The following is a 14082-nucleotide window of genomic DNA, read 5'->3' on the forward strand; positions in this document are numbered from 1 at the left end:
ATGAGACTTTAAAAGCGGGGAGTTTTCTCTGCTGGTTGTAGAAGGGGCAGTGAGAAATCTGAGGCTGGAGAGTTACTAGCTTGAGGATGGAGGAGGCCATGTGGCAAGGAGTATGCAGCCTCTAGGAACTGCCCCCTCCTCCCCTTCTTAGCTGTCAGCAAGGAAACAGGGACTTCAGTCCCATGGCTACAAGGAACTAAATCCTGCCAACAACAAGAACGAGCCTGGAAGTGATGATTTCTCAGAGTCTTCAGAGAGGAGCTCAGCCCACTGACTCTTTAATTTTAGCCTGTGAGACCCTGGCAGAGAGAGACCTCAGCTAAGCCTGGACTTCTGACCCAAAGAACAGGGAGGTAAAATAATGGGTGTTGTTTCATGCTGCTGAGTTGGTGGTAACTTCTCATGCAGCAATAGAAAATTAGAACACTATCTTTAAAATATATATATATATATATCATTCATTTTTAAAATTTGAGGTTTAATGTACATATTGTAGAAAGCGTAGGTCTTAAGTGCAGTTTGATCAGTTTTGATAAACGCATGCACTCAAATCCAGATGATATTTCCATCACCCCAGGAAGTTCCCTTATGCCTCTTCCCTGTCAATCCCTACACCAGAAGCAACTACTATTCTGATTTCTATCACCACAGGCTTATTTTGCCTATTTTAGAATTTCATGTAACTGGAACCAAATATCATGTACTATTTTGTGTCTGGCTCTTCACTCAGCAAATTGATTTTGAGATTCTTCCACCAGGTTGCATGCATTTGTAGCTGGTTCCTTTTACTGCTGAGCAGCATACCAAGGTGACTTTAGACATTTGCCTGTTGATGGACACGCTGGCTATTCTTAGTTTTGGACTATCATGCATAAAGCTGCTAAGGGATATCTGCATATGAGACTTCTTATGGACATCTTTTCATTTCTCTTGGATAAGCACTAAGAAGTGGAACTGCTGGGTCACAGAGCAGATGTATGTTTAACTTTTTAAGCAACTGCCTTGCAATTTTCCAAAGTGGTTGTGCCATTTTATCTTCCTGCCAGCACTAGATGAGTTACGTTTGTTCCACTCATCTTCAACATTCACTATTGTCTGTCTTAAGCATTTTAGCCACTCTACTCTATAAGTATTGGTATTTCATTACCTTTATAAACTTTTTGTATTGATTGAGATTCTAAATCAATGTAGTCCTGGTTATCAGCACGTAAAAGTTAGAATTCTATAATACTTCTACATTTACAAAGCCCCTTCACATAAATAATTTCATTTGCTACTCAAAATAACTGGCTCTTGGTTCTACTTTAGTGCTTAGGAGACTGAGGTCCAATCGCTCCCCCTGCATCTGGGTTCTTCCTCACTCAGTTTTATCCTCTACATCATGAGCAATTTTCAATTCAGATCATAGTTCTGATCATGCTACTCCCCTTGTATAAAACCCTCAATGGCTTCCCACCGTTCACAGGGGAAAGGTCAAACACCTTAGCGGTATTCAAGATCCAGTTATGGTCTGGTTGCAGCCCATAGTCCAACCTCATCTACTTTCTGTCTTTTATTTTTATTTTTTTTATTTTTTGAGACTGAGCCTTGCTCTGTTGCCCAGGCTGGAGTGCAATGGCGCGATCTTGGCTCACTGCAACTTCCGCCTCCCTGGTTCAAGCAATTCTCCTGTCTCAGCCTCCTGAGTAGCTGGGACTACAGGCTTCCCTACCACCCCCCGCTATGCCCAGCTAATTTTTGTATTTTTAGTAGAGATGGGGCTTCACCATGTTGGCCAGGCTGGTCTCCAACTGCTGACCTCAAGCGATTTGCCCACTTTGGCCTCCTAAAGGGTTGGGATTACAGGCGTGAACCACTGCACCTGGCCAACCTCATCTACTTTATGACACCCAAACTTTGCCTCTTCATTATTCTTGGAATTCTCTTTCCTGTATCAGCACCTTTATTTAAGGCTTTTTTTTGTTGTTGTCGTAGGGGGGTGGGTGGGGAGAAATGAGCATTTCAATGCTACCAATCTAACCCATTAAGTCTGACTCCCAATCCCCTTACTCAGGCCAAATCTTACCCTATTTCCAGCTTCCCCAGATTCTCCCATTTCCCTGCAGATGGAAGTAATGTCTCTCTCTCATGTTGTTTTGTATTTAACTCAGCCTCTATACACCAGAGCTACCTGTGCATATGTCTAATGTCTACCTGATTAGACTGCGATATCCCTGGGGGAATACTTATGTTGCATCCATCTGTCTCCCAGCACTGTGCACTGGGCCTGACTATTGGTTCATATGTGACAACCTGGTCTCTGTAGCTAGAATGGATACCCCTTGAGGAAAGAACTAGAGATGGCCTTATCTCAGGGCCAATGTCATTGCTATAGTCATAATAAGGGCTTCTGGTTAACTAGTCTGACCCAAGGCTCAAGGACGGGCCCTAGGATCCATCTATCAAACCATATGTCCATCATCCACACATACTTTTAACTTGTCCATGTATCATCCATGTATCCTGCATTAATTCACCATTTATCTTCCATATATAAACTCAACAACCAGCTTTGCATCCATCCTCCAACCACCCATCCATCCTTGCATTCCTCTAACCCATATTTACTGGGCACTCTGTCTATGCCTTTATCAGGCCTTGGTAATGCAAAGAATCACATCTGGTCGCTGCCCTCAGGAGCTTCCATTTTTTTAGGCAGGAGACACAGAAACACTATTATCCACTAAGGTAGAAAAATCCACTGCCCAGAAACGTAAGTCTGGGTGCTGCTGCCCCTAACCATGTTCAGCTCTGCCAGGCGATTGTCAGCTCTGGGACCACATCCTGGCTCACAAACCCATCATTTCCTTAGGACCCAAAAGGGACTCAGTTCAGCTTGGAGCCCCTGTTGTCTCTGTGGCACCTATTGTCCTTTGGCTTTCCCCTCTCCTGGCCCAGGGAGTCTCCCTACAGGGGGCACTTACTGCTGGAGCAGAGGGGAGGAGCAGGCCTAGAATCCCTGAGTGTCAAAGTTCAGAGAGGCTTAGAATGTCAGCCTCTGGATGAGAAAACCAAGGTCCAGAGAGCAGAGAGGACTGGTCCATGGTAATGCAGCAAATGAGTGGCTGCATTTGGGTCAGAATGTTGGAGGCCTTAGGCTTCAGGAGCCACAAAATCCTTTAACCAAACCAAATCATACTTGGTTCTGCTAATATAAAAAAGGTAACTAGTGTGGGAGCAGGGTAGGAGCTGCAATACTCATGGCCTCTCATTCCCTGTGGCACTGAGAGGCTCATCCCAGAGGTGCAGGATGTAAGGGTGGACCCTGCCAAGAGATGCTTCTCCTCCTCCTTTCCCATGCCCTCCACTTCATGGGGCTTGGCTTTGTTCAAAGGCCCTTGGGTCTGGTCTTTTCTGCCTGGACTGTGGAGTAGGGGCTTCCTGCCCTGGGCAAGGAGACATACCTGGCATGTGCAATGGCTGCCACCCATTCGTCACAATCTTTTGCGTCCTCTGTCCTCAGCTCCAAGGCTTTCTGGTTCTCATGGCTGAAGTTCACCGTGAAGTAATGCTGTATCAAGAAGAAGACATCTCCAATTACCAGAGTGTCCATGGGACCAACAACGACTCTTGCAATCAATCTAGCTGTTTTGCAAAGTGCCTGCTGCCACATCAGCTAGGCACAGATTCCTTGTTTGTGATAATCAGAATGCCATTCTATTTAGCAGTTTCCAGTTCTCGATTAAAAGGGCTTTTGTATCGTGTAACAGAGCCTATGCTTAGGATATTGTAAGAAGGAAACAAAACACACAAAGCCCTGTTCAACAACAAATTGCAAAAAAGCCAGTTTGAAATCATCAGGCGCGCTGGAGGGAAGGCAGGGAAAGCACATCATTAGAACATCCTTTTGGGAACTGGGTACCAATTCAATGCAGCATGTATTTAACTCACTCCACAAAAATGGAATAAGTGCCCTTCTAGGTCCTGGGGTTAGAGCGATGAGTAAACAGACACGGTCCCTGTAAGAGCCCACTGAAAGCCACCTCTGTGTTGGGTGCAGGTGACTAACTTAGAACCATGCCAACCATGGGCCCTGCCCCTTAAGGACTCAGGGAAGCAGAAGAGCCAGACAATAGACACCCATCTGCAATACTGTTATATGAGTTAAATGCATGTAAAGCTCCTAGAAGAATGCTTGGCACCTAGTAAGCACTGTAATTGCTGTAATTAATGTGGTGTGATCACTACTGTCATGGAGGTAAGAACAAAGGGCTGTGGGGGCACAGAGAAAGTCACCCACTGACTTATCCCAGGGAGATCAGGAGGGCTTCCCAGAGGATGGGACATTGGTTCAGTTTTATTTCAGCTGAATGGAAGAGCATGGGGGCAGCTTGGTGTCCAGAGCTCATAGCATATTTGGGAGGGGGAGGGGGCTGTACAGGGATGCCAGTGGGCAGGTGGGCAGGGACCTGGGGTGCAGCTGAGAGGAGGAGCCGTGGGAGGAGAGAGCAGCAGGGACAAAGCCCAGGTTTCAGGTTTGAGCAACTGGGCATGTTGGGAGAGTCATAGACTGGGCTGGGGCATTGGCAGGAGGAAGGGGCAGGGGGCTCTGAGGGGCCAGCTCCGCATGCAGAGGGATTCGTCGGAGAGAGAGGGCAGACAAACGAAGTGCTGGGGGCCCAGCCTGGGCCTGGGCCTGGTGAAACTGGGAGGAGAGAGGCAGGGGGTGAGGTACAAAGAGGGGCCCTTAGGTCTGCTGTTCAGAGGATGCACCACGGGCCAGCCATGGTGTGACACTGAGCCAGAGAGGGTGCCCGTCCCTCCATCCCTCGGTGTCCAGGTGGCAGGGAGCAGCAGCACAAGGTGCAGTGTGTAAACTAATTTTAGCTTCTGCTGACATTTATGTATTTTTGTTAATTGTCAGTCTAGGTGGCAGCCGGGTGTATGTGAAGTGGGGGGCGGGGGGAATGAGTATGGCAGGAGAGAGAGAGAGAGAGGAGAGAGAGAGTGAGTTGTTACAGAGTCAATGTCTGTCTCTTGTTTCCTAGGAAACAGATAACTGGGGCTATAGAATGAAATGTCAGCTACAGCCTCAAATAACTGAATCTGAAAGGCTCCAGTGGGCACCCTGCCCCCCTAGAGGAGGAAGCAGGTGACACATAGTGGCAGGCAGCTACCTAGCACTTTCCCCATCTCTCGAGAGATGATGAACACACAAATGCTTGTCTCCCATGATCTCATTATTTCCACATTCACCAAGCAGAACAGGTATTCTCTGTGTTACAGCTGATGAACCTGAAGCTCAGAGAGGTTGAGCTGCTTGCCTAAGGCCAAACAGCGGGAAAGCAGAGAAGCTGGGATGACACACCTGCACTGGGCAACTGCCGCCTGCTCAGGCCCTGGGCTTGGCCCTGGGATGCAAAGACAAAAAGGCAAAGTCCCCACCTCAGGGAGCCTGTAGGTAGGTGAGACTCAGAGTCCCAAATCAGAAACAAGGCACTCAGCTACATACAGGCACAGTGGAGTTGCTGGGTCTCCTTAGAGCCCCAAGGGGAATGTCCCAGAGCTATAGGAGCCCATTGCTGGGACCACAGCAGGAGTGTTCTCCTTCCCTACTGGGTCACCAGGGGACTCAGAGCTGCATGGGGTGATGGGCTTGGCTGAGGCCTTTCACTCTTCACAGAGACTTCTTCCCAATCAGCCCTACTGGGTAGGGAAGCAGATGGCTCCCTGCTACCCATGTGTACTGGAATCCCCTACAGCCTCACCCCTGCTGGAAACCTAACTGTGAGGAAGGATGCCAGGAAGACCCTCCAGGCCTGAACCCAGTCATCAGAGACCTTGAGCTTCTGACAGGTTATGATGCCCAACTCTCCATCCTGCAGACCAGGCACGGGGTTCCTGGAGGCTTCAGGAAGCCGGCCGCAGGCTACCCAGAGGCTTTCCCCACTCCCTTCCTGTCACTCCAATAGTTGCCAGTTCATCTGCCCGTCTACTCCATCTGTGTGGCCTCGCTCTGACCCCATCACTGCTGCCCTAGGTTAGGCCCCACGACCTTTCTCCTGGGCTACTGTCACAGTCTCCTAACAAGCATCCTGCATCTGCTGTCCTCCTGGGATAGGAGACACTGCCTAGACCCTGAGTGACTGACAGGCTTAGCGTTCAAGTGAAGTGGCCAGTTTATGGAGGGGTGGCCTTCGGGACAAGCGTGACCCAGAAGCTTCCCTGTGAGGCATAACAGCCAGGCTCCAGGGGCCAGGGCGAGCTCTGGGAGTATCCAGAGCCACTTCAGGCTCCCAGCCAGAAGAACTGCAGTCCAGGCAGCTGTGAGGGCCTCCACCTTAAGAAGAAGGGGAAACTGGAGGATCTACCACGCCTCAGGCATGGTACTAGGTTCTTTGCACACACCACCTGACTAGAGACACAACTGCCCTAGAAATTAAGTCTGTTATCCCCATTTAGAGGGCATGTGGAGGCAAGACACATTCATTTGTCCAAGGTCACTGGGCTAGAAGCAGCATCACTGAAGCCAGAACCCTGGGCTGCCTTTGCCCAGTGGTGCTTTTGCTGCTGCAGGAGGCCTGAGCTGGAATATAAGTGCCTCGAATGACTTGAGAGCAGTTTGTTCCCTTTGTGCTCGTAAACCTGCCCCCTGACATCTGTTTTATGCAACCACATTGCCCGACTGACTTGTAGAAATTGTTTGCTAAGGGAAAGTCAGCTTCCACCCAGAGTTTCTGAATCAGCACAAATCTGGACTTTGGGTAGCAAGTAAATGAGACTTTGCTCTATGTAGGAATTGGTAGGGACAGAGATAGAGACAGAGACAGAGATAAGATAGAGATAGATGGGTGGGGGGCAGGTGGGAGAGGGAGAAGCCTACAGAGACACAGAGACAGAGTATAATCCACTGGGAAAGACCAAAGCCCACGTCTAGAGAGAGAGGATGAGCTCCAGGCTCCTGGAAGATGCTACAAAAAAGGGAGCTTAGAGAGGTGAAAGGGACTCAGTGAGAATGTCAGATTTCCAAACCTATGTGCAGGAAAACCTAAAACACAACCAGTGGTGTGGGGAAAAAAAAGGGAAAGTGACTGATTTTGTGAGGCCCTGCTGTGTGCCTGTCACCCTGCAGGCACTGTCCCTGTGTTCCTGAGGGAGCCCAGCCACGGTGGAGGTAGGTGGCACGACCCCACTTCACAGAGGGGGCTGAGGCTTGGAGGTGGGTGTGAGGTGTCTCTGGGATGGCTGTCTAGGGTGACAGTGGCTTGGCTCTTAGCCCAGGGTCCTTCTGTTCACGCTGTTTGTTCTCTTCACTGTAATGGAGAAGAGTTAATAGGGGGCAAGTGGCTTTCTGGGTAGGGAAAGAGCACTGGAAAGGGGGTCTTATCTGGTGTCAGTTCTGCAGTTGAGACAGTGTGGCTTGGGGGCAACTAAGTCTCTTCCTCCTTGTCATCCTTAGCTTCCTCATCTATGAAATGGGGAGTTAAATGAGCTGGGCTCAAGGTCTTTTTGAGCCTATATATATATATATATATATACACACACACACGTATATTTATATGTATAAGTATATATATACATACATATATATACACATGCTTTTATATCGATGTATCATATATATATACATACATATATATTTATATATATGTGTATATATACACACACACACACGCTTTTATATCTATCCATCTATCGATATATCTGGAGAATGTGAATGAGAGTGTGGATGTGTGTGGATGTGTTTTGGGTCTTTCCCTGCACTTCTGGATAGGCCTTGGGTTGTTCCCAATCTCTCCCATAGCTCTCAGAGGCTGTGTATGTTTCTGGCCCACCCCTCTTCTCTGTGAGGGTCAGGTGTGTGGCCTAAGTGTGGTCTGAGGGTCTAGGCATGGCACTGTGTCCTGGGGTCAGCCTGGCAGGCTGAACCCCAGCAGAGGCCAGGCGATGACCTCTCCCTGGGCCCCAGGGAACACACAGGCCAGAGATTCAGGTCTCAGGGAAAAGAGTTTGCCTGGACCACAGGCCTGGCCGGGCTTAGGCTTGGGGGTGGGGGGTGTCTGCACTCCATCCTTCCCCTCACCTACAGGACTTCTCCCTGAGGCCCCTCCTTCCTTGGAGCCTCACAACCTGGCTGACCCTTTGGTCTTGGACTGCTCAGGGCCAGGGCTTGTACCTGCTTAATTTGGAAACTCTAGAACCCTGCACAGAGCCTAGTACTGAGTGGATGCTGATGAATAGCTGAAGAATGAGTGAATGAACAGACACATGAATGCTTCACCTTGGGGTTCTGATGACATCCTGATGAGGCACCCAGGACCTCATGATGGTCCTCACTCCTCTTGCACTTGCTAATAATGATTTTGCAAGCAACCTTTGTGGGCACTTGTGACATCCCAGCCACACTGCTGTATCTCTCAGGGACACAGGCCCATGTGGGGATGGCAAGACCCCGTTTGCTGTCTTTGGTTAGTGAGGATCTGTAACCACTGTTTTTGTCCCAATGTAGACTCACCCCAAATAAGTGGAGCCCTGGGAGTGAGGAATATAAGTGATAGAATTTTCTCTGTGCCAACCAATTTCCCATCTTTATCCTGCTTTCCAGCCAGGATGGAGGGACTGGGCAGATTTCTCCAGGGGAAGCAGGTCTTGCTGCAGCAGTCGGACAGAAAGAGATATTTTGGTGATGGTATCAGAATAGTAAAGACTATAAATGCTGGTGTTTCTTAAGTAAGGGAAGTCAAAGATTTGGGGGAAACGGGGGCAGAAGAAGGGACTTCCTATTGCTTCTTCTTGGGTCCTTGAGGTGCCTGGGCTGAAAAGGCCTTGATCTTTGTCTGCCTTCCTCACCCACTGCCAACGTTTCATTATGAAAATTTTAAACATTCACAGACATTATAATTATTTTACAGTAAAAACCCATATCCCACAACCTAGCTTTCACCATTACACTTTATGGCACTTGCAGAAAACCTTGGCCCTTATGAGGCTCTTATGCACCATTCACCCAAATGGAAGTTTCCCTGCCATGAGCTGACACAGACACCTGAAGACAGTGGAAGCCCCCAACCCAGGATGTCCCCATGAGGTCCATGGATGGTGGCAGCAGGGGCTGGGGAGTAATGTTCGGGGTGCCTTGCTTCTGCCTGGGAAATGCACAGGTGCTAACATTCTGCTCAGGTCGCATTTGGTTCCACAGGTGTGAGGTTGGGTCTGGGATATGCTTGTGTGTCCCGTTGATCTTCTGGGACTTTGGAGATGGAGAGCACATGGAAGTCTCAGGGTTGCAATAGCCCAGCTTTGTGGTCCAGTTTGGGTCAAAGAGCCCACTCTCCACCTAGCCCCTACCTGGGCAGCTCCCCTGACGGGGACAGAGCATATAACTGGGAAAAAAGGGAGACAGATGCTTCAGTTCAGCCTTAGTTTCTGTCTGGGGTTTTTTAAATAAAGGGAGACTCTATTTGGGAAACTTGATTTCCTTTTGAGATAAAGAAGTGGCCTTAATAATTGGAGGAGGACTAAGCAGGTGGAGGTTCATATTCCTACATGTTTCAGATGACAACAAATGACAGGTGTAGGTGGCATTGTGTTATCTGGGAAATGCTATTGTTGGTAATACTTGCTAGCTGTGTAACCTGGGGCCAGTCACTGAGGTTCTCACCTCAGTTTCTTCATCTACAAAATGGGCATAAGAAGAGTCCCTTCCTTGCATGATTGTTGTGAGAGTCAAGTGAGATAATGCTGGTGCCTGCAAGCAAGCATCCAATGCATGTTCACTATACTTCTTTTTTTATTAATATTTTTAATAACTTTCTCCTTGGCAAGCTTGGGTGCCTACTTTGAAGCACAGGTGATTTCTTGGCTAGTATGGGCTTGGGGTAAAAATATGATGATCTTCTAGGCCCTACTCCATTTTAGAAGTTCAGGACAACTTCAGGGAAATAGACACAAAGTTGTTGAGGATCTGAATTGCCCATCTCGTGGGTGACTGGTGGCTGCATAGGAGCATGTCAAGGCTCAGGGCAACCCTCCCCAAGGGACACTCAGACCTCTTATCCTCTGCTGGTCTCCAGCCCCGGGAGAGCAGCTGCACCCTCAGGCTGGGCTGCCGATGCTCATGCTGTGTCCCCAAGGAGCAAATATGCAAGGGAGATGAATGTTGGCTTGGACATGCTTGAGCCTGAAGCCTTGTTTTCATGGCGGGTCTCAGGACCCACTGCAAGGCCATCTCCCCTTACTGCACCTTCAACAAGGAGCAGAGCTGCCTCTGGCATGGATAGGCCAAAGTTCTAGAAAAACTCCACCTCTTGGCTCTTTGAGCCTGGAAAGGGATCATTTCCTTTCCTCTCTGTTCTTTCCATTTCTCTCTCTCTCCTTTGCATTCTCTGAAGCTTTCTTTTTCTTTTTTCTTTTTTTTTTTTTGAGTCAGAGTCTCACTCTGTTGCCCAGGCTGGAGTACAGTGGCACAGTCTCTGCTCATTGCAACCTCCACCTTCCAGGTTCAAGTGATTCTCCTGCCTCAGCCTCCCGAATTGCTGGGACTACAGGTGTGCGCCGCCATGCCCGGCTAATTTTTTTTTTTTTTTGTATTTTTAGTAGAGACGGGGTTTTGCCATGTTGGCCAGGCTGGTCTCGAACACCTGTCCTCAAGTGATCCATCCTCCTTGGCCTCCCAAAGTACTGGGATCATAGTTGTGAGCCACTGTGCCTGGCCCTCTGCAGCTGTCTCCTTCTTTCTTTGTGTCTCTGTTCCTGCCTTTCTCCTCTGTGTCCCCTTCCCAGGTCTTCCCTCCCCACTCTTCCCAGCTTCTTTCCACATGGCAGGTGAAGTCAGCTGGTCAGGGTGGTACCAGCTGCAAAGTGGCACCCCATATTAGGGCCCCCTAGTTTTCCCTTTCTTGGCTCCCTCCTCTTCTCCAGGCTGTGACTGAGTGTACCAGGGCCAGGGGCTCCCATCTCCTTCCCACTGTCCTAGAAATCTGAACACATATCTTCTGGCCCTAAGACTTGCTCTCCTGTCCCTATGATCTTTTCTGGCTGGTTTGGGTGTGTTTTGGGAGAGGCTTTCTGGATTCTGGAGTAGTACCATCTGCTATTGGGAAATGAGCTTAGGGAGGAAGGAGGAGTCACAGGCCTGCTTTGGTTCAAGGCCCAAGCTCCAAAGCCTCAGTCAGGCCAGCTCAGCTCCCTGGAGCTCTGAGATAGCTGGAGAGAACTGAGGAGCATTATATTGCCAGCGACTGCCTGAGGACCTCACGAGGGTGGTGGTCTGGAGCAGTTAGGGGGTTTCTGGGAGTTCTTGATAAACAATCTTTTTTTTTTTTTTTTTTTTTTTTTTGAGACGCAGTCTCACTCTGTTGCCCAGGCTGGAGTGCAGTGGCATGATCTTAGCTCACTGCAAGCTCTGCCTCCCGGGTTCATGCCATTCTCCTGCCTCAGCCTCCCGAGGAGCTGGGACTACAGGCGTCTGCCACCACGCCCGGCTAATTTTTTGTATTTTTAGTAGAAACGGGGTTTCACCGTGTTAGCCAGGATGGTCTTGATCTCCTGACCTCGTGATCCGCCCGCCTCGGCCTCCCAAAGTGCTGGGACTACAGGCGTGAGCCACCGCGCCCGGCCAATAAATAATCTTAATATCAATTTCTTCCATGGAAAAACAATGACCCTGCATAGCACCAGAGCTCTTGAGACAGTCTCATAACCTCAGCTGGTATCGGTTCAGAGCTCTGGCTGACCTGAGTCACCTTTGAAAGCTGAACTCCCACCTGAGCTTCCTCAGAGTTACAAGGTTGGGCAGAGGCCAGAGACAGATCCCTCCAAAGCTGCAGAGTAAAAACCAGACTCACACTGGGGGCAACACTGGAGCTGCTGTGATGAGGCCAGGATCACAACTTGGACATCCCCAGAATGATGCTGAGACCAACCAGAGCTACCCAGAGCTTCTCAGACTCACAACACACGAGCCTCAGTGTGACCACAGGATAGGACCCAAATCACACCTGCCACAACAATGGGACCACATAGGCTTGCCTGGATCCCGGTTGGATTCCTCTGCGGAACAGCAGCATTGTTCTGGAGTCAGTCCCAGGGACATCCTAGAACTCTCCAATGCAACAGAGAGCCTCATGCCCACCTTCCCTGGGCCCTGGATGAGATCAGGACTCACTATATGTGATCAAGGATATAGGATACATTCAGATACAGGACCCGAGTCCAAGTTTCAATAACAAATCTTCACAGGCCTACTAGAGTTGCTGGAATAGATCTAGTATCCCCCGCAGTCCTCCACCAGACTGCCCAGATCCCAGAAGGGGAGTCATGATGCCTGATAAGCCCATGGCTCTTTCTAAGGGCAGCTGGTTCCTGTGGGGAAGCTGGGCTGGGGCTCTTCCCTTAACTGGACTGGAGCCAGGTAGAGCAAGGGCTCCCCAAACTGCCCCAACAGGGAAGTGAGGCGGGGAGTTTGCCTTAGGAAATAGGAGGAGAGGCAGTTGGTTGGCAGTATCATCCGAAGCTATAAGGAGACCACCTGGAGTCGGGGTTGTGAGAGACGAGAAGGGCAGGTGAGGAGGAGGTGTGAGGCCAAGCAGAGATAGCAGAGCACCGAGGGTGGCACTGGCAGACACGGGGTGCCGCTGAGTTGCACTGAGGGTGGGAAGCTAGAGGTGGCGTGTCAGGCTCTGGCTACAGGTGGTTGAGGATGGCATGGGGACAAGACTGGCTGCCCTGGAACACCTGGATTCCACCTCTTCTCAGTTACGTGTGCTGGGAATGCTGCCTGTACTGTGGTTCTTGTTCTTCCAAGAATGTCCCACCACCCTTACTGCCATGAGAGTCCTTAAAGTCACTGGAGCTGCAGCAGCACCCAAATCACCTTGGAATTTGTTAGGACTGTAAGTTCTTGGGCTCCACCCCAGACCTCTGTTTTGAAACAAGCCCCCCAGGTGATCCTGCTGCACCCTGTGGTATGAGAAGCATTGCTTAAGGCAAGCCACCATTACTTGAGATAAAACTACATGTGGGGCCAGGACTGTCTTCAGTCTTGCTGGGTGCCACCAGTTTTCTAGGTCCAGGCTCAGATCTACAGCTCTGCTGGGCAGGAGCTGCCCCAGAGGTAAGTAGATGTAAAAATACATTTCTCCTACTTCAGTATCCCAGTTTTCCACTCCAAATCCCTTGGGGCGCTTGCTAAAAATGTAGATCTCCAGGCACTAGCTGCCTTCTGAATCAGGATCCCTAGGGGTATGGCTGGAATTTATTTTAAAGAGCACCCTAGGTGATTCCGTACATGCTCATGCTTCAAGGGGAACTGATAAGCCCATGGCTCCTTCTAAGGGCAAGTGGCCCCTGTGGGGAAATTGGGCTGAGGCTCTTCCCTGAACTGGACTGGAGCCAGTTTAGGGTGAGGATAGGCAGTTGATGTGAGGGTCAATGATGGGAAGTCTTATAGTCCAGAGATACATCCGAACCTGGCTTAGCCCAGTATTGCAAGGACAGCCTCAGCACTACCAGAGCACTCACCAGGTTGTGAGGGCAGGGCCAGTACCCTATGTGGAGCTTCACCTGGGCGGGAGGCCCAGGTCCACTACCACACCTGGAAGGTGCCATGGGCTGTGTAGAAAGACCCTTATCGTGAGCCTCACTAGCCTGCATGGGCCAACTCAGAGCCACACCCAGGCCCCATAATGCATCCAGGGATTCACAGAACCATCGCTGGGGTCCAACTGCAGTTGTATGAACAGACCACAGCCTCATTCAGGGACTCCCCAGAAATGCAACAGAGGAAGAAACCACCAATGGGCCGCACCCGATTTTGCTACAGAAGAGGCAAGACTTGGTGAACCACTTCTAAAGCCCCTGCAGGGCTGCAGAGATGGGCCCAGAGCTCCACCTGGGGCCTCCACAGAGATCAAGGATGGACCTAGAGCTTTCCTAGACCTGAAGTAAGAGATGGATAACCTGATTTGAGATTCCACCAGGAGTCCTAAGATCGAGCGAGAAATACTCGCAGAATCAAAATCACTGTAACAGATCCACAATGATTCCAAGGCCTTCCCAAGTGCATGGATGGAGCCTGGACCTCCTGAGGCTTGACCTGGGTTG

The 14082-nt window shown here is 49.8% G+C and overlaps 1 protein-coding gene across 7 annotated transcripts in view; it reads right to left on the reverse strand.

Annotated features, from left to right (window-relative positions):
* The window catches only part of RASGRF1 (Ras protein specific guanine nucleotide releasing factor 1), a 130875-nt gene that overhangs the window by 101071 nt on the left and 15722 nt on the right, over positions 1 to 14082 (reverse strand). For all 7 annotated transcript variants that reach the window (NM_001145648.3, XM_017022456.3, XM_017022455.3 and 4 more), the window contains exon 2: positions 3444 to 3550. In NM_001145648.3, the coding sequence (NP_001139120.1) occupies positions 3444 to 3550 (107 nt within the window). The remainder of the gene's footprint in view (positions 1 to 3443; positions 3551 to 14082) is intronic.

This window comes from Homo sapiens, chromosome 15 (genome assembly GCF_000001405.40).
Source record: "Homo sapiens chromosome 15, GRCh38.p14 Primary Assembly".
NCBI classification, from domain to species: Eukaryota; Metazoa; Chordata; class Mammalia; order Primates; family Hominidae; genus Homo; species Homo sapiens.